At 37.5% G+C, this 23,211-nt stretch overlaps 1 long non-coding RNA gene across 2 annotated transcripts in view, besides 1 other annotated feature; it reads left to right on the top strand.

Moving 5' to 3' along the window:
- Nucleotides 1-22,208, top strand: part of LOC107985126 (uncharacterized) — a 93,388-nt gene extending 71,180 nt beyond the window's left edge. For both annotated transcript variants that reach the window (XR_001753535.1, XR_001753533.1), the window contains one exon: nt 22,100-22,208. This is a non-coding gene — a long non-coding RNA (uncharacterized LOC107985126). The remainder of the gene's footprint in view (nt 1-22,099) is intronic.
- Nucleotides 13,046-13,673: an enhancer, noted in NCBI's record as "H3K27ac-H3K4me1 hESC enhancer chr18:25090256-25090883 (GRCh37/hg19 assembly coordinates)". NCBI's record gives its function as "activates a minimal SCP1, AML or CMV promoter by ChIP-STARR-seq in naive H9 embryonic stem cells {active_cell/tissue: H9 hESC(naive)}" and the evidence as "EXISTENCE:reporter gene assay evidence [ECO:0000049][PMID:30033119]".
- Nucleotides 22,209-23,211: the final 1,003 nt, after the last annotated feature.

The raw sequence follows: 23,211 nt of genomic DNA, 5'->3' as shown, positions 1-23,211 counted from the left end.
TGATGAAAAAGAATAAAATCATGTCTTTTGCAGCAACATGGATGGAACTGGATGCCATTATCTTAAGAGAAAGAACTTGGACACAGAAAGATAAATGTTGTATGTTGTCACTTACAAGTGGGAGCTAAATAATATGTACACATGGAAGTAGAGTGTGGCATGATGGACAATGGAGACTTGAAGTTTGTAGAGGAGTGGAAAGAGATGGATGATATGAGGTTGCTTGGTGGGTACAATATGCATAGCTCCAGTGATGGATACACTGAAGGCCCTGACTTCACCACAATGCAATATATCAATGGAGTAAAGTTGCACTTGTACCCCATGAGTATATGCAAAAAAAACAAGCTTTAAGCTTAAAACACTTCAACATAAAAATAAGCATTCTATATTGATTTTGGGACTCAACCATATCATTAAAAATGAGATATTGATAGAAACTGTAGTATAATGTGTTAAAAGTACAAAGGCATATTCTTCTATGTAGAAGTCCAGAGAGAAATGGAAGAGTCCAGGCAGCTCCATTACCATAAGGTAGCAAGTTTGTTCCCATTTTGTGTCATCATCCAAGCTCTTGACATCCATCCTTACCTCTTGGTCCAAGAGGGTTGCTGACTATTCAGCCATATATATTTTTTATTTTATTATGAAATAAGGAGGTTAGGTAGAAGGGGTAAAATTTGCAATCTTCCTTTCCCATGAAGACTGTTTTCAGAAGACTACTTTTATACCATTTTTCAGAACATCAAATGGGCCATAAATCTATTAGCTGGGCATGTTGCAGAAAGGAAATAGAATGAGTCTTTGTTACAGCTATAATAATTAAAATTGTAAACCTGACATAGTAAAGAAATTAGTAAAAACTGCAGGTATTCTAAGAGCTTGTTATGGGCCAGGCATTAATCTAAGTGCTATCTGTACTTTTTCTTTCATTTAATGTTTAAAACAATCATATTTAAATTAGGAAAATGAGGCCCAGAGAGGTTAAGTAACATGTTAATGGTCATATAACAGTGGCAATACCAGGTCTGAACTCAGATTGTTCTGCACTGTATTGCTTTTCTAAAGTAGTAACAGATCAGCAGAGCAAAATAGAGATTCCATGAATGGGTCTGTGCATATATAATCATTCAATATAAGATAAAGCTGTAATATGGCCATTATGGAAGACAGTATAGAGCTCTGTCAGAAAATTAAACATAGAACTACTATATGATGCAGCAATACCACATGTGGATATATGTCCAATGGAAATAAAATTAGTATTTCTAAGAGATATCTGTACTTCTGTGTTCATTGTAGCATTATTCACATATGGAATAAGATATGGAATCAATCTAAATGTCCAAATATCCACTGATGGATGAATAGATAAAGAAAACATGATGTGGGGTGTGTGTGTGTGTGTGTGTGTGTGTCTGTGTGTGTGTGTGTGTGTGTGTGTGATAAAATAGTTATCATTCAGTCTTAAAAAAGGAAACTGTCATTTGTGATACCATGAATGAACCTGGAGGACATATCATAAGTAAAACGGATCAGGCAGAGAAAAACAAAAACTACAAGATTCCATACATATGTGAAATCTAAGAAAGTTGAACTCATAGAAGCAGAGAGCAGAATGGTGGCTACCGGGGGCTGAAGTGTGGGGTGGAGGGAAATGGGGAAATGTTGGTCAAAAGGTACAAAGTTTCAGTTAGATGGGAGGAATAAGTTCTGGAGATCTATTCTAGAGCATGGTACCTATAGTTAATAATAATGTATTGTATACTTGAAAACTGCTAAGACAGTAGATCTTAAATATTGTCACTACAAAAAAATAAGTATGTGACATGATAGATATGTTAATTAGCTTGATTTAATCATTGCACAATGTTCACAGATATCAAAATATCACTTTATATACTATAAATATATACAATTTACATTTGTCAATTATACCTTAATAAGACTGGGGAGGAAACAAAATTGTCATAAATTCATTAGGGAGAAAATTATAGAATCATGATACCAGAATATTGATTTGTTATTTAGAAAAAAGCCAAATTACTTTCTCAATTCATACAATTAGATAAATTTTACATTAATTTTTTAAAACTATGAAATACTTGAATAAAATATATAGATATATGTGATCTAATACTGACTCAGCAAAGACCTTCTGATCATCTCTATGAGGAATAAGATACAAATGAAAAATTTATTTGACTTTAAAACCATTGTCCAAAAAAATAAGAAGAAAACATAAAGAACAAGCAAAGAAAATGTAAAACAGAATGTTGAGAACAAATTTTTCATTTGATACATAAAATTTTTATTCAAATCTGAACACACTAAATATTGGAAAAAATCACAAATAATAGACAGGAAACATAAACACGAATGAATAACAAACATACGAAACATTAAACATGAAAAAAAATCCTGTTATTTTTCACCTATCAAAAATTAACAAAATAAAAAAGCTGATCTTTGTTAGATTGCAGTATTCCTACGTATTGATAGAACTAATTTCAGAAAAGCAATTAAGCAGTGTGCATCAAGTCTCCTTGAAGAATCTATACTTTTTGACCCAAAACCTTGACCTCTTAGCCCCAATTTATGAATCTAGAAATATAGTGATATATACAGGTAAAGAATTAATATCAATTGTATTTAGCATAGCATTATCTATTAGGCAGTGCTACAGTAAGAACATGTGTACTGTAGAGTGACAAAATAAACAGTATAATGTAGAAAAGACTACAGTCTACAGAGCCAGAAGTCAGGTTCCACTACTTACTAGCTACGAGACCCGGAGACAGGTCTCTAACCTCTCTGTGTCTGTTTTCTTAGCTCTAAAATTAGCATAATCATCATCATAATAATGATACCTGCCTCACAGACTTATTAGGGTAAAATATTGATATATGCAATGGTACTTAACAGTAATTGGTACAAAAAGTTATTATTTGAATTATTATAATTATAATTTTTTATGATTATTATTATTATGGTGCATACATAGGATGGGCTTTTATTCAGCCATAAGAATTGTGTTCTTAAAGTTCGATAACATGAAATATCTCAAATAAAATGTTGAGAAAGAAGTATGTAAATACTGTTATTATTATATAATACTATTTTTCTATTTTAGTCAATAAGTTATATTTAGAGATTAAAGATTGGAAGGAAATTTATGAAAACACAGATGGTTTTTATTTCTGGGATTGGTGGAATTATGAGTTATGTAATTCACCATATCAACAGACAGAAGAAGAAAAACCATAGAATCATCTCAGATGAAAAGCATGCATTTGGCAAAATTCAACATTCTTTCATAATACCTCTCAGCAGACTACGAATAGAAGAGAAATTCTTCAAACTCATATGGCATTTTTGAAAACCAACAACTAACGTCATACTTTAGGAGTGCAAGACTGAAGATTTTACCCCAAAGATTGGAAAAAAGGCAGGAGTATCTGTTCTCACCACTGCTATTCAACATTATACTGCAAGTCCTAGCCAGCACAGTAATGTGAAAAAGAAAATTTATAAAAGACACACAGATTGGAAATGTATAAATAAAACTGCCTTGATTTTCAGATAATATGTCCATGTAGAAATCCCAAATAATCTGTACTAAAAAGAGTAGATCTATTGAGTTCAGCTAAGTTGTAGGATATAAAGTCAGCAGAAACACCAAAAATTCTATTGAATTTATATATGCTACCTAGAAATAATTGCAAATTGCACTGTAATTTAAAAGTAATATTTAAAGTAATACCTTCCAAAAGGAACTACTTAAGGGTAAATCTCATAATGTTTGTGGATATTTTGTATGTTAAAAATTATACAACATAAATAAACATCAAATAAAACTTCAATAAATGGTGAGATAAGCCAGACTTATTAATTGTAAAACTTAACATTTGACCAGGTGCAATGGCTCACGCCTGTAATCCCAGCACTTTGGGAGGCCGAGGCGGGCAGATCACAAGGTCAAGAGATTGAGACTTTCCTGGCCAACGTGATAAAACCCCGTCTCTACTAAAAATACAAAAATTAACTAGGCCTGGTGGTGCATGCCTGTAATCCCAGCTGCTTGGGAGGCTGAGGCAGGAGAATCACTTGAACCCGGGAGGTGGAGGTTGCAGTGAGCCAAGATCACGCCACTGCACTCCAGCCTGGCAACAAAGCGAGACTCCGTCGAAAAAAAAAAAAAAAACCTTAATATTCTTAGATATGTCAGTTCTATCCCAAATTGACCTATGTTATCAACACAATACCAATGAAAATGATAGCAGGATTTTTTGTATCAACAAGTGGATTCTAAAATTTATGCTGAAAAACAAAGGGGATAGAAGAACCAAATAAAAAACAACAAAATTGGAGAACTAATGTTGCCTAATTTCAATTCTTACTAAAAAACTATAGTAGTAAAGACAGCAAGGCATTAGCAAAGGGTAAATACATAGATGAATGGGAAAAAATAGCCTAGAAATAGGCCAATACATATATGATCAACTGATTTTTGACAAATATACCAAGGAACTATCAATGAACCATTCATAAACTATTCATTGAACTGTTAACTTTAATAATGAGATTCAGAAAATAAAATTAAGTGTGAAGTTCATTAAAACTCAAAGCTTGAGGATAGCCATCTGGGAGCATACACTCAAATTGCCCTAAATAATATACAATTAACAGCAGTGGGGTTTTAAGGAAAAAGGAAGATGCAGTTATTAAAGTGCTTACCAAGAATTTACATTAAAATAACACAAGCAGCTGGGCATGGTGGCTCATGCCTGTAATCCCAGCACTTTGGGAGGCCAAGGTGGGTGGATCACCTGAGGTCGGGAGTTCGAGACCAGCCTAACCAACATGGAGAAACCCCATCTTTACTAAAAATACAAAATTAGCCAGGCATGCCTATAATCCCAGGTACTCGGGAGGTTGAGGCAGGAGAATCACTTGAACCCAGGAGGCGGAGGTCGTGGTGAGCACAGATGGCGCCATTGCACTCCAGCTTGGGCAACAAGAGTGAAACTGGGCAACAAGAGTGAAACTCTGTCTCAATAATAATAATAATAACAACAACAACACAAGCGATTGATGGGTTATGCATTGTTCTTTGTATCACAAATTTTTCAGGTACATAAAGATAATGTCTAAGGCAGCCAGTCAGGGACAAAATGCCTTTAAACAATTTTCCCTGGGCAAGAGTTCAGCATGTAAGAGGTTATTAAAGTTCCATACTCCTGTCTCTCTAGGCCTGATAAATACTGCAAACTTCATGTAGCTCAGACTGCTCTGAGCTATTTTTCTTTTCTCAGAACAAGTGGTAGTGTTTTCAAAAAATGTTACTGGAAAAATTGTGCATCCATATTAAAAAAATAGAAATCTTAACCTATACCTCACACCATTTATAAAAATTAACTCAAAGTAGACCCTATATCTAATTGTAAAACCTAAAACTCTAATCAAACTTTTATCAAAAATCATAGAAGACATTTTTTGATTGTAGGCTAAGCAAAGTTTTTTTAAAGATAGGACACAAAAAACATAAACCATAAAAGAAAACATAAATAAATTAGACTTCGTTGAAATTAAAATGTTCTACTCTTTGAAAGTCCCTGTTAAAATAAGACAAGTCAATATTGGAGAAAATATTTGCAAAAAAAAAAAATCTGATAAAGGACTAATATTCAGAATATATAAACAACTGCCATATTTTAACAATAATAAAACAACCTAAACCAAAATGGGCAGATAATTTGAATGAACTTTTCATTACAAAAGAGATATGTGTCAAATAAGCACAAGAAAATGTGACTAACATCAACAGACATTAGACAAATTCTAATGGAAAACAAATATATCATTACTCACATGTTAGAACGGCTTTTTTTTTTTTGAGACAGAGTCTCACTTTGTCACCCAGGCTGGAGTGCAGTGGTGCGATCTCGGCTCACTGCAATCTCCGCCTCCCGGGTTCAAGCAATTCTCCTGCCTCAGCCTCCCGAGTAGCTGGGATTACAAGTGCGCATCACCACACCCGGCTAATTTTGTGTTTTTAGTAGAGATGGGGTTTCACCATGTCCCAGGCTGGTCTCGAACTCCTGACCTTGTGATCCACCTGCCTCGGCCTCCCAAAGTGCTGGGATTACAGCTGTGAGCCACAGTGATCAGCCAGAAGGGCTATTTTAAAACAAAATGGCAATATAAAGTGTTAACAAGAATGTAAAGCAACAGAGACTCTCAAACATTGCTGGTGGGAATGCAATATGCAATATGCAATATGCAGCCACTTTGAAACATTGCTGGTGGGAATGCAATATGCAGCCACTTTGAAAAACTATTTGGAAGTTTCTTCAAAATTTAAACACATAGTTACCTTCTTACCAAACCAAACTGGCCTGGTGGAGTAAGGCCAAATATCCACACTGTGGTTTGCAGTGGGAGAAAAGTGTGTTTATTTGTAGGGTGCCAAGCAAGGAAAATAGGGAAGTTCACGCTTAAGACTCAACCTCCCCAGTGGCTTGCAGGTCGGATGTTTTAAAGCAGGGATAAATTTCAGGAAAGCAAAAGTTACAGACAAAATTGTAAATTGGTACCTTGAGGTTACACATTGGTTTGGCCTATGAGGGCAGGATATCTTGAAGCGGGGGCTTACAGGTCATAGCTAAATTCAAAGGTTTGCTGATTTGAATTAGCTAAGGAAGAGAAGCTTTGTTAAAAAATTTGGGGTCATCATAAAAGACTGTTAGCTCTGGCTCATGGATGTGATTTTCTCCAGTCCCTTCAGAAACAAATTTACAACAGTAGTCACAGTTCCGTCCTCTGTTCCCTTTTATCTGAGGTCTACATGCCAGTGGATCTGCTTGGAGGGAATCCAAGTTTTTGGAAAACAACTCAGGGGCATTTGTTAAGGTGTTGTCTTTAGTTTTCATAGGGCCTAACATCACATGATTCTAACTTCCTTGGCTATTTTAAGCTACGATTACCTTCTTGCTTATCAAGCTGCTCATTTACTTCTCAGAGTTCACTAAGTATCTGGAATTCCCTTTGGAGGAGCTCAAGATTTTCCTTTATTTCCATGTTTAGTGTGGGAGTCCCACAGCCCTCTAAGAGCATCCCTGCTCCATCTGAACCTTATAACTCAGCAATGTTCTTCTTAGGTATTTACTCAAGAGAAATGAAAACGCATATCTCCATAAAGACTGTTAGGCAAACATTTACAGCAGCTACAGTTAAATATCCAAAAATTGGAAACAATTCAAATACCATTACCTGGTGAATGCATACACAAATTGTAGTATACTAATAACATACAGTATAAAAGCTATAAAAAGAAATGTCCTACCAATATACCTAGCACCATGGACAATCCAAAAGCATAATGCAAAGTGAAAGAAGCCGGACTGAAAAGGTAAAATACTGCATAATTCTCCTATGTGACTTTCAGGAAAAGGCAAACACTAGGTATAGGACAGACCAGGGGCTGCCAGATGCTGGAAGTGGAGAGAGATGATGAGCTACGAAGGTTCATGAGCAAATTCTTTAAGATGAAAATATTTTATGCATTGATGGTGGTGGTGGTTACATGACTCCATACACTGTCAGATCTCAAGAACTGTACATCCAGGAGTTATTAATAATTTTACTACTCACTAATTATATCTCAATAAAACTGACTTAAAAACAACAACAAACAGAATCTATGACTTTAGAAGAATTCAGATTGGCACAGTCTCATAGACCCTCAGTAGCACTTGAATTCCTTGTGGTAATTGCTTCATGCTTTTTCAACAACTCTTACCTCCCACTGATAGAAGTATTTGGGATAGTGAACTATTACATAGAAAGAAGTTTATTCAGCTTTAGATGCCTAGCATCTAAAATAGAGCTTTCTTTTTTTTTCTAGTTTTTATTTTATTTATTTATTTATTTTTTATTATACTTTAAGTTTTAGGGTACATGTGCACATTGTGCAGGTTAGTTACATATGTATACATGTGCCATGCTGGTGCACTGCACCCACTAATTCGTCATCTAGCATTAGGTGTATCTCCCAATGCTATCCCTCCCCTCTCCCCCCACCCCACAATAGTCCCCAGAGTGTGATGTTCCCCTTCCTGTGTCCATGTGTTCTCATTGTTCAATTCCCACCTATGAGTGAGAATATGCGGTGTTTGGTTTTTTGTTCTTGCGATAGTTTACTGAGAATGATGATTTCCAATTTCATCCATGTCCCTACAAAGGACATGAACTCATCATTTTTTATGGCTGCATAGTATTCCATGGTGTATATGTGCCACATTTTCTTAATCCAGTCTATCATTGTTGGACATTCGGGTTGGTTCCAAGTCTTTGCTATTGTGAATAATGCCGCAATAAACATACGTGTGCATGTGTCTTTATAGCAGCATGATTTATAGTCATTTGGGTATATATCCAGTAATGGGATGGCTGGGTCAAATGGTATTTCTAGTTCTACATCCCTGAGGAATCGCCACACTGACTTCCACAATGGTTGAACTACTTTACAGTCCCACCAACAGTGTAAAAGTGTTCCTATTTCTCCACATCCTCTCCAGCACCTGTTGTTTCCTGACTTTTTAATGATTGCCATTCTAACTGGTGTGAGATGGTATCTCATTGTGGTTTTGATTTGCATTTCTCTGATGGCCAGTGATGATGAGCATTTTTTCATGTGTTTTTTGGCTGCATAAATGTCTTCTTTTGAGAAGTGTCTGTTCATGTCCTTTGCCCACTTTTTGATGGGGTTGTTTGTTTTTTTCTTGTAAATTTGTTTGAGTTCATTGTAGATTCTGGATATTAGCCCTTTGTCAGATGAGTAGGTTGCGAAAATTTTCTCCCATTTTGTAGGTTGCCTGTTCACTCTGATGGTAGTTTCTTTTGCTGTGCAGAAGCTCTTTAGTTTAATTAGATCCCATTTGTCAATTTTGTCTTTTGTTGCCATTGCTTTTGGTGTTTTAGACATGAAGTCCTTGCCCATGCCAATGTCCTGAATGGTAATGCCTAGGTTTTCTCCTAGGGTTTTTATGGTTTTAGGTCTAACGTTTAAGTCTTTAATCCATCTTGAATTGATTTTTGTATAAGGTGTAAGGAAGGGATCCAGTTTCAGCTTTCTACATATGGCTAGCCAGTTTTCCCAGCACCATTTATTAAATAGGGAATCCTTTCCCCATTGCTTGTTTTTCTCAGGTTTGTCAAAGATCAGATAGTTGTAGATATGTGGCGTTATTTCTGAGGGCTCTGTTCTGTTCCGTTGATCTACATCTCTGTTTTGGTACCAGTACCATGCTGTTTTGGTTACTGTAGTCTTGTAGTATAGTTTGAAGTCAGGTAGTGTGATGCCTCCAGCTTTGTTCTTTTGGCTTAGGATTGACTTGGTGATGCGGGCTCTTTTTTGGTTCCATATGAACTTTAAAGTAGTTTTTTCCAATTCTGTGAAGAAAGGCATTGGTAGCTTGATGGGGATGGCATTGAATCTGTAAATTACCTTGGGCAGTATAGCCATTTTCACGATATTGATTCTTCCTACCCATGAGCATGGAATGTTCTTCCATTTGTTTGTATCCTCTTTTATTTCCTTGAGCAGTGGTTTGTAGTTCTCCTTGAAGAGGTCCTTCACATCCCTTGTAAGTTGGATTCCTAGGTATTTTATTCTCTTTGAAGCAATTATGAATGGGAGTTCACTCATGATTTGGCTCTCTGTTTGTCTGTTGTTGGTGTATAAGAATGCTTGTGATTTTTGTACATTGATTTTGTATCCTGAGACTTTGCTGAAGTTGCTTATCAGCTTAAGGAGATTTTGGGCTGAGACAATGGGGTTTTCTAGATATACAATCATGTCTTCTGCAAACAGGGACAATTTGACTTCCTCTTTTCCTATTTGAATACCCTTTATTTCCTTCTCCTGCCTAATTGCCCTGGCCAGAACTTCCAACACTATGTTGAATAGGAGTGGTGAGAGAGGGTATCCCTGTCTTGTGCCAGTTTTCAAAGGGAATGCTTCCAGTTTTTGCCCATTCGGTATGATATTGGCTGTGGGTTTGTCATAGATAGCTCTTATTATTTTGACATACGTCCCATCAATACCTAATTTATTGAGAGTTTTTAGCATGAAGTGTTGTTGAATTTTGTCAAAGGCCTTTTCTGCATCTATTGAGATAATCATGTGGTTTTTGTCGTTGGTTCTGTTTATATGCTGGATTACATTTATTGATTAGTGTATATTGAACCAGCCTTGCATCCCAGGGATGAAGCCCACTTGATCATGGTGGATAAGCTTTTTGATGTGCTGCTGGATTCAGTTTGCCAGTATTTTATTGAGGATTTTTGCATCAATGTTCATCAAGGATATTGGTCTAAAATTCTCTTTTTTGGTTGTGTCTCTGCCCGGCTTTGGTATCAGAATGATGCTGGCCTCATAAAATGAGTTAGGGAGGATTCCCTCTTTTTCTATTGATGGGAATAGTTTCAGAAGGAATGGTACCAGCTCCTCCTTGTACCTCTGGTAGAATTCGGCTGTGAATCCATCTGGTCCTGGACTCTTTTTGGTTGGTAAGCTATTGATTATTGCCCCAATTTCAGCTCCTGTTATTGGTCTATTCAGAGATTCAACTTCTTCCTGGTTTAGTCTTGGGAGAGTGTATGTGTCGAGGAATTTATCCATTTCTTCTAGATTTTCTAGTTTATTTGCATAGAGGTGTTTGTAGTATTCTCTGATGGTAGTTTGTATTTCTGTGGGATCGGTGGTGATATCCCCTTTATCATTTTTTATCGCATCTATTTGATTCTTCTCTCTTTTTTTCTTTATTAGTCTTGCTAGCGGTCTATCAGTTTTGTTGATCCTTTCAAAAAAACCCAGCTCCTGGATTCATTAATTTTTTGAAGGGTTTTTTGTGTCTCTATAACCTTCGGTTCTGCTCTGATTTTATATTTCTTGCCTTCTGATAGCTTTTGAATGTGTTTGCTCTTGCTTTTCTAGTTCTTTTAATTGTGATGTTAGGGTGTCAATTTTGGATCTTTCCTGCTTTCTCTTGTGGGCATTTAGTGCTATAAATTTCCCTCTACACACTGCTTTGAATGCGTCCCAGAGATTCTGGTATGTTGTGTCTTTGTTCTCGTTGGTTTCAAAGAACATCTTTATTTTTGCCTTCATTTTGTTATGTACCCAGTAGTCATTCAGGAGCAGGTTGTTCAGTTTCCATGTAGTTGAGCGGTTTTGAGTGAGATTCTTAATCCTGAGTTCTAGTTTGATTGCACTGTGGTCTGAGAGATAGTTTGTTATAATTTCTGTTCTTTTACATTTGCTGAGGAGAGCTTTACTTCCAAGTATGTGGTCAATTTTGGAATAGGTGTGGTGTGGTGCTGAAAAAAAATGTATATTCTGTTGATTTGGGGTGGAGAGTTCTGTAGATGTCTATTAGGTCTGCTTGGTGCAGAGCTGAGTTCAATTCCTGGGTATCCTTGTTGACTTTCTGTCTCGTTGATCTGTCTAATGTTGACAGTGAGGTGTTAAAGTCTCCCATTATTAATGTGTGGGAGTCTAAGTCTCTTTGTAGGTCACTCAGGGCTTGCTTTATGAATCTGGGTGCTCCTGTATTGGGTGCATATATATTTAGGATAGTTAGCTCTTCTTGTTGAATTGATCCCTTTACCATTATGTAATGGCCTTCTTTGTCTCTTTTGATCTTTGTTGGTTTAAAGTCTGTTTTATCAGAGACTAGGATTGCAACCCCTGCCTTTTTTTGTTTTCCATTGGCTTGGTAGATCTTCCTCCATCCTTTTATTTTGAGCCTATGTGTGTCTCTGAACGTGAGATGGGTTTCCTGAATACAGCACACTGATGGGTCTTGACTCTTTATCCAATTTGCCAGTCTGTGTCTTTTAATTGGAGCATTTAGTCCATTTACATTTAAAGTTAATATTGTTATGTGTGAATTTGATCCTGTCATTATGATGTTAGCTGGTGATTTTGCTCGTTAGTTGATGCAGTTTCTTCCTAGTCTCAATGGTCTTTACATTTTGGCATGATTTTGCAGGGGCTGGTACCGGTTATTCCTTTCCATGTTTAGTGCTTCCTTCAGGAGCTCTTTTAGGGCAGGCCTGGTGGTGACAAAATCTCTCAGCATTTGCTTGTCTGTAAAGTATTTTATTTCTCCTTCACTTATGAAGCTTAGTTTGGCTGGATGTGAAATTCTGGGTTGAAAATTCTTTTCTTTAAGAATGTTGAATATTGGCCCCCACTCTCTTCTGGCTTGTAGGGTTTCTGCCGAGAGATCCGCTGTTAGTCTGATGGGCTTCCCTTTGAGGGTAACCCGACCTTTCTCTCTGGCTGCCCTTAACATTTTTTCCTTCATTTCAACTTTGGTGAATCTGACAATTATGTGTCTTGGAGTTGCTCTTCTCGAGGAGTATCTTTGTGGCATTCTCTGTATTTCCTGAATCTGAATGTTAGCCTGCCTTGCTAGATTGGGGAAGTTCTCCTGGATAATATCCTGCAGAGTGTTTTCCAACTTGGTTCCATTCTCCCCATCACTTTCAGGTACATCAATCAGGCGTAGATTTGGTCTTTTCACATAGTCCCATATTTCTTGGAGGCTTTGCTCATTTCTTTTTATTCTTTTTTCTCTAAACTTCCCTTCTCGCTTCATTTCATTCATTTCATCTTCCATTGCTGATACCCTTTCTTCCAGTTGATCGCATCAGCTCCTGAGGCTTCTGCATTCTTCACGTAGTAATCGTGCCTTGGTTTTCAGCTCCATCAGCTCCTTTACGCACTTCTCTGTATTGGTTATTCTAGTTATACATTCTTCTAAATTTTTTTCAAAGTTTTCAACTTCTTTGCCTTTGGTTTGGACGTCCTCCCGTAGCTCAGAGTAATTTGATCGTCTGAAGCCTTCTTCTCTCAGCTCGTCAAAGTCATTCTCTGTCCAGCTTTGTTCCATTGCTGGTGAAGAACTGCGTTCCTTTGGAGGAGAAGAGGCACTCTGCTTTTTAGAGATTCCAGTTTTTCTGTTCTGTTTTTTCCCCATCTTTGTGGTTTTATTTACTTTTGGTCTTTGATGATGGTGATGTACAGATGGGTTTTTGGTGTGGATGTCCTTTCTGTTTGTTAGTTTTCCTTCTAACAGACCAGACCCTCAGCTGCAGGTCTGTTGGAGTACCCCGCCGTGTGATGTGTCAGTGTGCCCCTGCTGGGGGGTGCCTCCCAGTTGGGCTGCTCGGGGGTCAGGGGTCAGGGACCCACTTGAGGAGGCAGTCTGCCCGTTCTCAGATCTCCAGCTGCGTGCTGGGAGAACCACTGCTCTCTTCAAAGCTGTCAGAAAGGGATATTTAAGTCTGCAGAGGTTACTGCTGTCTTTTTGTTTGTCTGTGCCCTGCCCCCAGAGGTGGAGCCTACAGAGGCAGGCAGGCCTCCTTGAGCTGTGGTGGGCTCCACCCAGTTCAAGCTTCCCAGCTGCTTTGTTTACCTAAGCAAGGCTAGGCAATGGCGGGAGCCCCTCCCCCAGCCTGGCTGCCGCCTTGCAGTTTGATCTCAGACTGCTGTGCTAGCAATCAGTGAGACTCCGTGGTCGTAGGACCCTCAGAGCCAGGTGCAGGATATAATCTTGTGGTGGGCCGTTTTTTAAGCCTGTCGGAAAAGCGCAGTGTTCGGGTGGGAGTGACCCGATTTTCCAGGTGCTGTCAGTCACCCCTTTCTTTAACTAGGAAAGGGAACTCCCTGACCCCTCGCGCTTCCCGAGTGAGGCAATGCCTCGCCCTGCTTCGGCTCGCGCACGGTGCGCGCACCCACTGACCTGCACCCACTGTCTGGCACTGCCTAGTGAGATGAAACTGGTACCTCAGATGGAAATGCAGAAATCACCCATCTTCTGCGTGGCTCACGCTGGGAGCTGTAGACCAGAGCTGTTCCTATTCGGCCATCTTGGCTCCTCCTTCTAAAATAGAGCTTTCAATCTCCTTCACTATGAGGTCAAGGACATTGAGTCTGGTTTATTTTTATTTAGTGACTCACAAAATGCTAAGAAAATGTTGCTTACGTTGAATAAAATTGAGAAAAATCCTGTGGACTGGTAAGTTTTGCACAGTTCTTTTTCTTTGTTTACTAAACAATTGTGGATCTGAGTCTTCTTTGGAACTCTGCAACTCCAATGAGATGTGGTTTATTTTCAAAAAGCCAATTTTACTATCGATCAGTATACCAAAACATCATGTTGTATACCTTAAATATATACAATAGAGTCTATTTTAAAAAATAAAGCCTAGACATTCTCAACCTTCAGTATCACCATTAATCATCTGAGGTAACTTCTAATATGCTGATGCCTGGGTTCCAGTACCTAAAATTGGCCTGGAAATTTACAGTTTTCACCAGTTTCCCAGGTAAATCTCATGCAGGATTTCCTAGGTCACACTTTGAGGGAATACAGCCTGAAGCTATCAGTAAAATTTATGAAAGGCAGGGAAAATAAGCCAGTTTACCTTTTTTAAGATATATATCTGGTTTTGAAAAAAAAATTTATTTTAATTTTTGTGGGTACATGGTAGGTGCATATATAAATTGGAGACATGAGATGTTTTGATACAGGCATGCAATGCATGCGTAACAATCACGTCATGTAAAATGGGGTATCTATCCCCTCAAGCATTTATCCTTTGTGTTACAAATAATCCAAATATACTGTTTTGGTTATCTTAAAATGTACATTTAAATTTTTATTGACTATAGTCACCCTGTTGTGCTATGAAATACTAGGTCTTATTCATTCTTTCTATTTTTTTTTTTTTTTTTTTTTTGGGACCTATTAACCATCCACACCTTCCCTTCACCCTCCCACTACCATTCTCAGCCTCTGGGTGACGATCCTTGTACTCTCTATGTCCACGAGTTCAGTTGTTTGAATTTTTAGATACCACAAATAAATGAGAACATGTGATATTAGTCTTTCTGTGCCTGGCTTATTTTACTTAATATAATGACCTCCAGTTCCGCCCATGTTGTTGCAAATGTCTGGAACTCATTCCTTTTTATAGCCAAATAGTACTCCATTGTATCTATGTACCACATTTTGTTTATCCAGTCATCTGTTGGTCAACAATTAGTTTGCTTCCAAATTTTGGCTATTGTGAACAGTGCTGCAACAAACATGGATATGCGATTATCTGTTTGATATACTGATTTCCTTTCTTTTCTTTCCTTCCCTTTCTGTTCTCCTTAGTGGTTGTACTAATTTACATTCCCACCAACAGTATATGAGGGTTCCCTTTCCTCCATATCCTTGCCAGCATTCGTTATTGCCTGTCTTTTTAATACAAGGCATTTTGACCGGGGTGAGATATCTCATTTTAATTTTGATTTGGATTTCTCTGATGATCAGTGATGTCGAGCAACTTTTCATATGCCTGTTGGCCATTTGTGTGTCTTCTTTTGAGAAATGTCTATTCAAATCTTTTGCCCATTTTAAAATCAGACTATTAGACTTTTTCCTGTAGAGTTGTTTGAGCTCCTTATATATTCTGGTTATTAATCCCTTGTCACATGAGTACTTTGCAAATATTTTCTCCTATTCTGTGGGCTGTCTTTTCAAATTGTTGATTGTTTCATTTGCTGTAAAGGAGATTTTTAACTTGATGTGATTCCATTTGTCCATGTTTGCTTTGGTTGACTGTGCTTGTGGGATATTACTTAAAATATTTTTGCCAGACCAATGTCCTAGAGAGTTTCCTCAATGTTTTCTTATAGTAGTCTCACAGTTTGAGGTCTTAGTTTAAGCCTTTAATCCATTTTGATTTGATTTTTATATATGGTAAGAGATCAGAGTCTAGTTTCATTCATTTGCATATGGATATCCAGTTTTCCCAGGACCGTTTCTTGAAGATACTGTCTTTTCCCCACGGTATGTTCTTGGTACCTTTGTCAAAAATGAATTTGCTGTACGTGTGTAGATTTGTTTCTGGGTTTTCTACTCTGTTCCTTTGGTCTATGTGTTTGTTTTTATGCCAGTACCCTGCTATTTTGGTTACTATAGCTCTGCAATATAATTTGAAGTCAGGTAATGTTATTTTTTCAGTTTCGTTCTTTTGCTTAGCATAGCTTTGGCTATTCTGGGTCTTTCATTGTTCCATGTAAATTGTAGGATTGTCTTTTCTATTTCTGTGAAGAATATTATTGGTATTCTGGTAGGGATTGCAATTAATCTATAGATTGCTTTGGGTAGTATGGACATTTTAACAATATGATTCTTTCAATCCATGAACATAAAATATCTTTCCATTTTTTGGTGTCCTCTTCAATATCTTTCATCAATGTTTCATAGTTTTCTTTATAGAGATCCTTTACTTCTTTGCTTAATTCCTAGGTATTTAATTTTATTTGTGGCTCTTGTAAATGGGTTACATTTTGATTTCTTTTTCAGATTGTTCACTGTTGGCATATAGAAATGCTACTGATTTTTGTGTTTTGATCTTGTGTTTTGCAAATTTACTGAATTTGTTTATCAGCTCTAATAGTTTTGTGGTGGAGCCTTTAGGTTTTTTTTCAAATATAAGATTGTATCATCTGTAGACATGGATAATTGGACCTCTTTTTCAATTTGGATGCCCTTTATTTCTTTCTCATCTGATTGCTCTAGCTTGGACTTCCAATAATATGTTGAATAACAATGGAAAAACTGGGCATCCTTATTGTGTTCCAGATCTTAGAGGAAAGGCTTTCAGTTTTTCCTCATTCAGTATGATACTAGCTTGGGTCTGTCATGTCTGGGGTTTATTATGTTGAGGTATATTCCTTGTATACTCAGTTTTTGAGGGTTTTTATCATGAAGGGATGTTGAATTTTATCAAATACTTTTGCAGAATCAATTGAAATGATCATGTGGTTTTTTTTCCTTCATTCTGTTGATATGATGTATCACATTGATTGATTTCCATATGTTGAACCATCCTTGCTAACCAGGAATAAATCCCACTTGGTTATAATAAATAATATTTTTAATGTAGAGTTGACTTCTCTTTGCTGTTATTCTGTTGAGGATTTTTGCATCAATATTTATCAGAGATATTGGCCTGTAGTTTTCTTTTTTTTGTTTTTAATGTGTCTTTGGTTTTGGTATCAGGGTAATACTAGCCTCATAGAGTGAGTTTGGAAGTATTCCCTTCTCTTCTATTTTTTGGAAATGTTTGAGTAGGATTGGTATTAGTTCTTTAAATATTTGGTAGAATTCAGGAGTGAAGCCATTGGATTCTGGGCTTTTCCTCACTGAGATACTTTTTATTATGGCTCGATCTTGTTACTTGTTATTGGTCTGTTCATGTTTGGGACTTCTTCCTGGTTCAGTCTTGCTAGGTTGTATGTGTCTAGGAATTTGTCTGCTTTTTCTATATTTTCCAATTTATTGTCGTTTAGTTGCTCATACTAGCAACTAATAATCCTTTGAATTTTTGCAGTATCAGTTATAATGTCTCTTTTTTCATCTCTGATTTTATTTGTATCTTCTTTTTTTTTCTTAATCTGGCTAAAGATTTGTCAATTTCGTTTAACTTTTTAAAAAACCAAGCTTTTGTTTTCTTGATATTTTGTATTGTTTTCTTCATTTCAATTTCATTTATTTCTGCTCTGATCTTTATTATTTCTTTTCTTCTATTAATTTTGATTTTAGTCTGCTCTTGCTTTTCAAATTCTTTACGATGAATCATTAGGGTTTTTTATTTGAAGCATTTCTTCTTTTTTGATGTAAACACATATAGCTATAAACTTTCCTTTTATTACTGCTTTTGCTGTGTCCCATAGGAATTGGTATGTGGTGCTTCCATTATCATTGGTTTCAAAAAACATTTTCAATTTCCTTCTTAATTCCTTCATTGGCCCACTGGTCATTCAGAAGTATATTGTTAATTTCCATGTATTCATATAGTTTCAAATATCTCGTTATTGATTTCTAGTTTTACTTCATTGTGGGCAGAGAAGATGCTTAATATTATTTTAATTTTTTTGAATGTTTAAGATTTGTTTTGTGAGCTAACATATGGTCTATCTTTGAGAATAATTCATGTACTGAAGAAAAGAATGTGAATTCTGCAGCTGTTGAATAAAACATTCTGTAAATATCTATTAGGTCCATTGGGCTATACTACAGATTAAGTGTAGTCTGATGTTTCTTTGTTGATTTTCTGTCTGGAAGATCTGTCCAATGCTGAAAGTAAGGGTGTTGAAGTCTCTCCAGCTATTATTGATTGAGGCCTATGTCTTTCCTTAGCTATAATAATATTTGCTTTATATATCTAGATGCTCCAGTGTTGGGTGCATATATATTTAAAATTGTTATATCCTCTTGCTGAATTAGCCCCTTTATCATTATATAATGACCTTCTTTGTCTCTTCTTATAGTTTTTGTCTTGAAATCTACTTTTTTCTGGTATAAGTATAGCTACTCTTGCCCTTTTGTGGTTTCCATTGGTATGCAATATCTTTTTCTATCCGTTTATATTCAGTCTATGTGTTTCTTTATAGGTGAAGTGTGTTTCTTTTTTATAGGCAATAGATCATTGTTTTTTTTTTAAAATCAGTGAAGCCACTCTATGCCTTTTGATTAAAGAGTTTAGTTCATTTACATTCAATGTTATTATTGGTAAGTAAGAACTTAATCCTGCCATTTTGTTATTTGTTTTCTGGTTGTTTTGTTGTCTTTCCTCCTTCTTTCTTTTCTTCCTGTCTTCCTCTTAGTGAAGATGATTTTCTTTGGTGATATGACTTAGTTTCTTCCTTTTTTTGTGTGTGTGTATCCATTGTATGTTTTTTGGTTTAAAATTACCATGAGGCTTGCTAAAACTATCTTATAACCCATTATTTTAAGCTGATAACAACTCAGCACTGTTTGCATAAACAAACAAGCAAAAAGAAAATGAATACACTAATCTATGCCTTAACTTCATCCCCCCATTTTTTAACTTTTTGTTGTTTCTATTTATATCTTATTGTACTATGTCTTGAAAAGTCATTGTAGTTGTTATTTCTGATTGGTTCATCATTTAGTCTTTCTACTTAAGAGTAGTTTACACACCACAGTTACAGTGTTATAATATTCTGGTTTTCTGTGTACTTACTGTTACCAGTGAGTTTCATACCTTCAGAAGATTTCTTTTTTTTTTCTAATTGAAGGAATTCCCTTTAGCCTTTCTTGTAGGACAGGTCTGGTGTTGATGAAATTCCTCAGCTTTTGTTTGTCTGGGAAAGTATTTCTCCTTCATGTTTGAAGGGTTTTTTTCACCAGATATACTATTCCAGGGTAAATTATTTTTCCTTCAGTACCTTAAATGTGTCATGCTGGTCTCTCTTGGCTTGTAAAGTTTCCACTGAGAAGTCTGTGCCAGACAGGTTGGCGCTCCATTGTATGTTACTTGTTTATTTTCTCTTGCTGCTTTTAGGATTATTTCTTTATCTCTGATGTTTTGAGTTTGATTTTTAAATTCCCTGAGGTAGTCTTTTTTGGGTTGAATCTGTGTGGTGTTCTGCAACCTTCTTGTACTTGAATATTGATATCTTTCTCTATGATTTGGGAAGTTCTCTGTTATAAACCCTTTGAGTAAACTTCTTACCCCTATCTTTTCTCTACTTCTTCTTTAAGGCCAGTAACCTAGATTTGCCCTTTTGAGGCTATTTTCCAGATCCTGTAGGCATGCTTTATTGTTTTTTGTATTCTTTTTTCTCCTCTTACCATGTATTTTCAATTAACCTGCCTTCTAGCTCACTGATTCTTTCTTCTTGATCAATTCTGCTATTAAAATACTCTGATGCATTCTTCAGTATGCCAACTGCATTTTTCAACTCCAGAATTTCTGCTTGATTCTTTCTAATTATTTCAATCTCTTTGTTAACTTTATGAATTTCTTTTTTTTTTTTTTTTTTTTGAGATGGGGTATCACTCTGTCACCCAGGCTGAAGTGCAGTGGCATAATCTCGGCTCTCTGCAACCTCTGCCTCCTGGGTTCAAGTGATTCTCCTGCCTCAGCCTCCCAAGTAGCTGTGATTACAGGCACTGACCACCATGCCTGGCTATTTTTTTTTGTGCGTTTTTAGCAGAGATGCGGTTTTGCCATGTCAGTCAGGCTGGTCTTGAACACCTGACTTCAAGTGATCCACCCACCTCAGCCTTCCAAAGTTCTGGGGTTACAGGTGTAAGCCACCACAATTCCTTCTCTGTGTTCTTTTAAATTTCTTTGAGTTTCCTCAACACAGCTATTTTGAATTCTCTATCTGAAAGGTCACATATCTCTGTTTCTCCAGCATTGGTCCCTGGTGGCTTATCTAGTTCATTTGGTTAGGTCATGTTTCCTGGATGTTGTTAATGCTTGTAGATATTCTTCAGTGTCTGGGCATTGAAGAGTTAGGTATTTATTGTAGTCTTCTCAGCCTTGGCTTATCTGTGCCCATCCTTCTTGGGAAGGCTTTCCAGATATTCAAAAAGACTTGAGTATTGTGCCCCCTTAGGGGGCACCCTAAGCCCAGTAACTCTGTGGTTCTTGCAGACTCATAAATGTACTGCCTTGATGGTCTTGGACAAGATCCAGAAGAATCACTGAATTATCGGTCAGAGACTTGTTCTCTTCACATATTTTTCTCAAATGAATGAAGTCTCTATTGTCTGTTCTGAGCTACCTTGAGCTGGGGGTGGTGTGACACAAGCACCCCTGTGGCCACCACCACTAGGATTGTGATGGGTCAGACCTAAAGCCAGAACAGCACTGGGTCTTTCCCAAGGCCTGCTGTATACACTCCCTGGCTATGGCCTATGTTTGTTCAAGGCCCTGAGGATCTATAGTCAGCAGGTGGCAAGGCCAGCCAGGTTTGTGTTCTTCACTTGTGTTCTTCCCTTCAGGGTGGCAAGTTCCTCCAGGCTTCAGGTGTGTCCAGATGTGCCATCTGGGAGCCAGGGACTAGGGTCAAAAACCTTAGAAGTCTACTTGGTGTTCCATTATACTGTGGCTGAGCTGGCTCCCAAACCACAAGATGCAGCTCTTCCCACTCTTCCCTCTCCTTTCCAAAGGCAGAGGAGCCTCATCCCATGGCCACCACCACCATAGGCCCAAGGGGAGGAGTGCCAGACTATCCCCAATGTTTTCATAAGGCTCAAGGTCTCTTCAGTCAGCTTGTGATGAATGCTGCCTGGCCTGGGACTCACCCTTCAGGACAGTGGGCTCCTCCCTGGCCCAGGGCAGGTCCAGAAATGCTGTCCAAGTGCCAACTCGTGGCATTGGAGACCCCAAGAGCTCACTTGGTGCATTACCCCCTGTGGCCAAGCTGGTAACTAAGGTGCAAGACAAATTCCCCTTTGCTTTTCCTTCTACTTTTCTTAAATGGAAGGAGTCTTGCCCCCTTAGTCACCACAACTGGGAATGTGCTGCATCTCACCTGAAGCTAACAAGTCTCAGAGTCTCGCCCAAGGCCCATGACATGGTAACTGAGTATCACTGCTGATTATTCAGGATCCAAAGGCTCTTCAGTCAGCAGATGATGAATCTTGCCAGGACTGGGTTCTTTTCTTAAGGCAGCAGGTTCCCTTCTGGCCCAGTGTGTATCTAAAAATGTCACCTGGGAGCTAGGGCCTAGAAAGGGGGGCCTCATGACTCTGATTGGTGTTCTGTCCTGCTGGGGCTGAGCTGGTATCCAAGATGCAAGACAAAGTCCTCCCCAGTCTTTCCTCTTCTTTCCTTTCTTCAAGCAGAGGGAAGTGGCCTCTTTTGAAGCCATAAGCTGTTCAGCCTGGTGTTGGGGAGAGGTGATGCCAGCATCCCTTTAGCTGCCCCAGTTAGTGTCTCAAAAGGTCACATGCCCTTTTAGTCTACTGGCTCTGGGCCCAGTTCAGCACTAAGACTCACCTAAAAGTTGTAGTCCTTATGGCCTAGACTGCCTTTCAAGTATATTTGGAGCCCCAGAGCACTTTAGCCTACACTGGCGAGGTTTGCAGGAACTCAAGTTCCCACAGCTGGAGTCAATGATTCCCCTCTAGCTAGGGCTGGTTTAAATGCTCCCTCTGTGAATGGGAATCAGCTGAGTTTGGCCCAATTTTCCTTTCTGCTATTACAGGACAAAACTGAGTTCAATGCTTCACAATTGCTGCGCTCTTCTTCTCCCCAGTGGAAAAAAAAATGCTCTCTGCACCACATGGCCGCTGGCCGCTGCCAGAGGATGGAGGAAGGGGTGATGTTGGTCATTCAAGACTGTTTTTCCTACCTCTTCAGTGCCTCTTTCAACTGTATGAAGTTAAAACCAGGTACTGTGAGTGCTCACCTGATTTTTCTTCTTATAAAGGTGGGGTTTTTTTTGTTTGTATATGTTGTTGTATGTTGTTGTTGTTTTTTCTTTTTGTAGATAGTTGTTAAATTGATATTCTTGTGGAGGGGGGAGACAATTAGGGGAAACTTTTATTCAACCATCTTGTTTTTCCATTTTGCCTTTTGAAAGGTAAAGTAATTGCATTAAAGTTGTTTAAAGAAGATAAAAAGATGAAGGGAGTTGAAAAAATTTTAATATGGCCTATTTTTCAAATCTTGTATTTTGCAAGTGCTAATTATTTATTTTATTCCTTTTCTCATTTTAGTTTAAGTATATCTTTTAGTAGCAACATGACTAAGTTAAAAACATAGCTCAAGAATTATTTATCAAGATGTGAAAACCAGTAACAGTAATCATTTTTAATAACATGACCAATGGCCTTAATTTTGAACATAATTTTATTAAGATGTTAGGTTATAAGTAGGAATTAGGTGGGAAATTAGTTCATGAATGACTCTCCAAATTTACTTCCTAGAATTCTGTATTTCAAAATTTCATGCAGGTAGTAATATATGTAAAAATCCAACTGAAATAGAGAATATTGTTCCTTTTTAAAATATATCCTTTTTAATCTATCTTCATATTAATTAGTGCAATAAAAAGCTTCCTCATTCTGTTATTTGGTAGAATTTTAAATATCTAGTCAACCTATTAGAAATGTCAGAAACATTTCTATTCTGATCCCATAGCAGCTCGTGAGTTCCTCATTACCTTGAAAATTTTGATCTTAGCAAAGCAAAAACCCCAAGAATCAGGCCAAACAAGTGTGAAACTGAGAACTGGGTAGCCCCTAACTCAGCTTCTCAAAAACGGCCTGTCTTCTATGGTCTGTGAGGGTTCAGACAACAGCAGCTCCATCGAGA

Source organism: Homo sapiens, chromosome 18 (genome assembly GCF_000001405.40).
Source record: "Homo sapiens chromosome 18, GRCh38.p14 Primary Assembly".
Lineage (NCBI taxonomy): Eukaryota > Metazoa > Chordata > Mammalia > Primates > Hominidae > Homo > Homo sapiens.
Note: the sequence above shows the minus strand (reverse complement) of the source record. Positions and strands in the feature narration are given on the sequence as shown.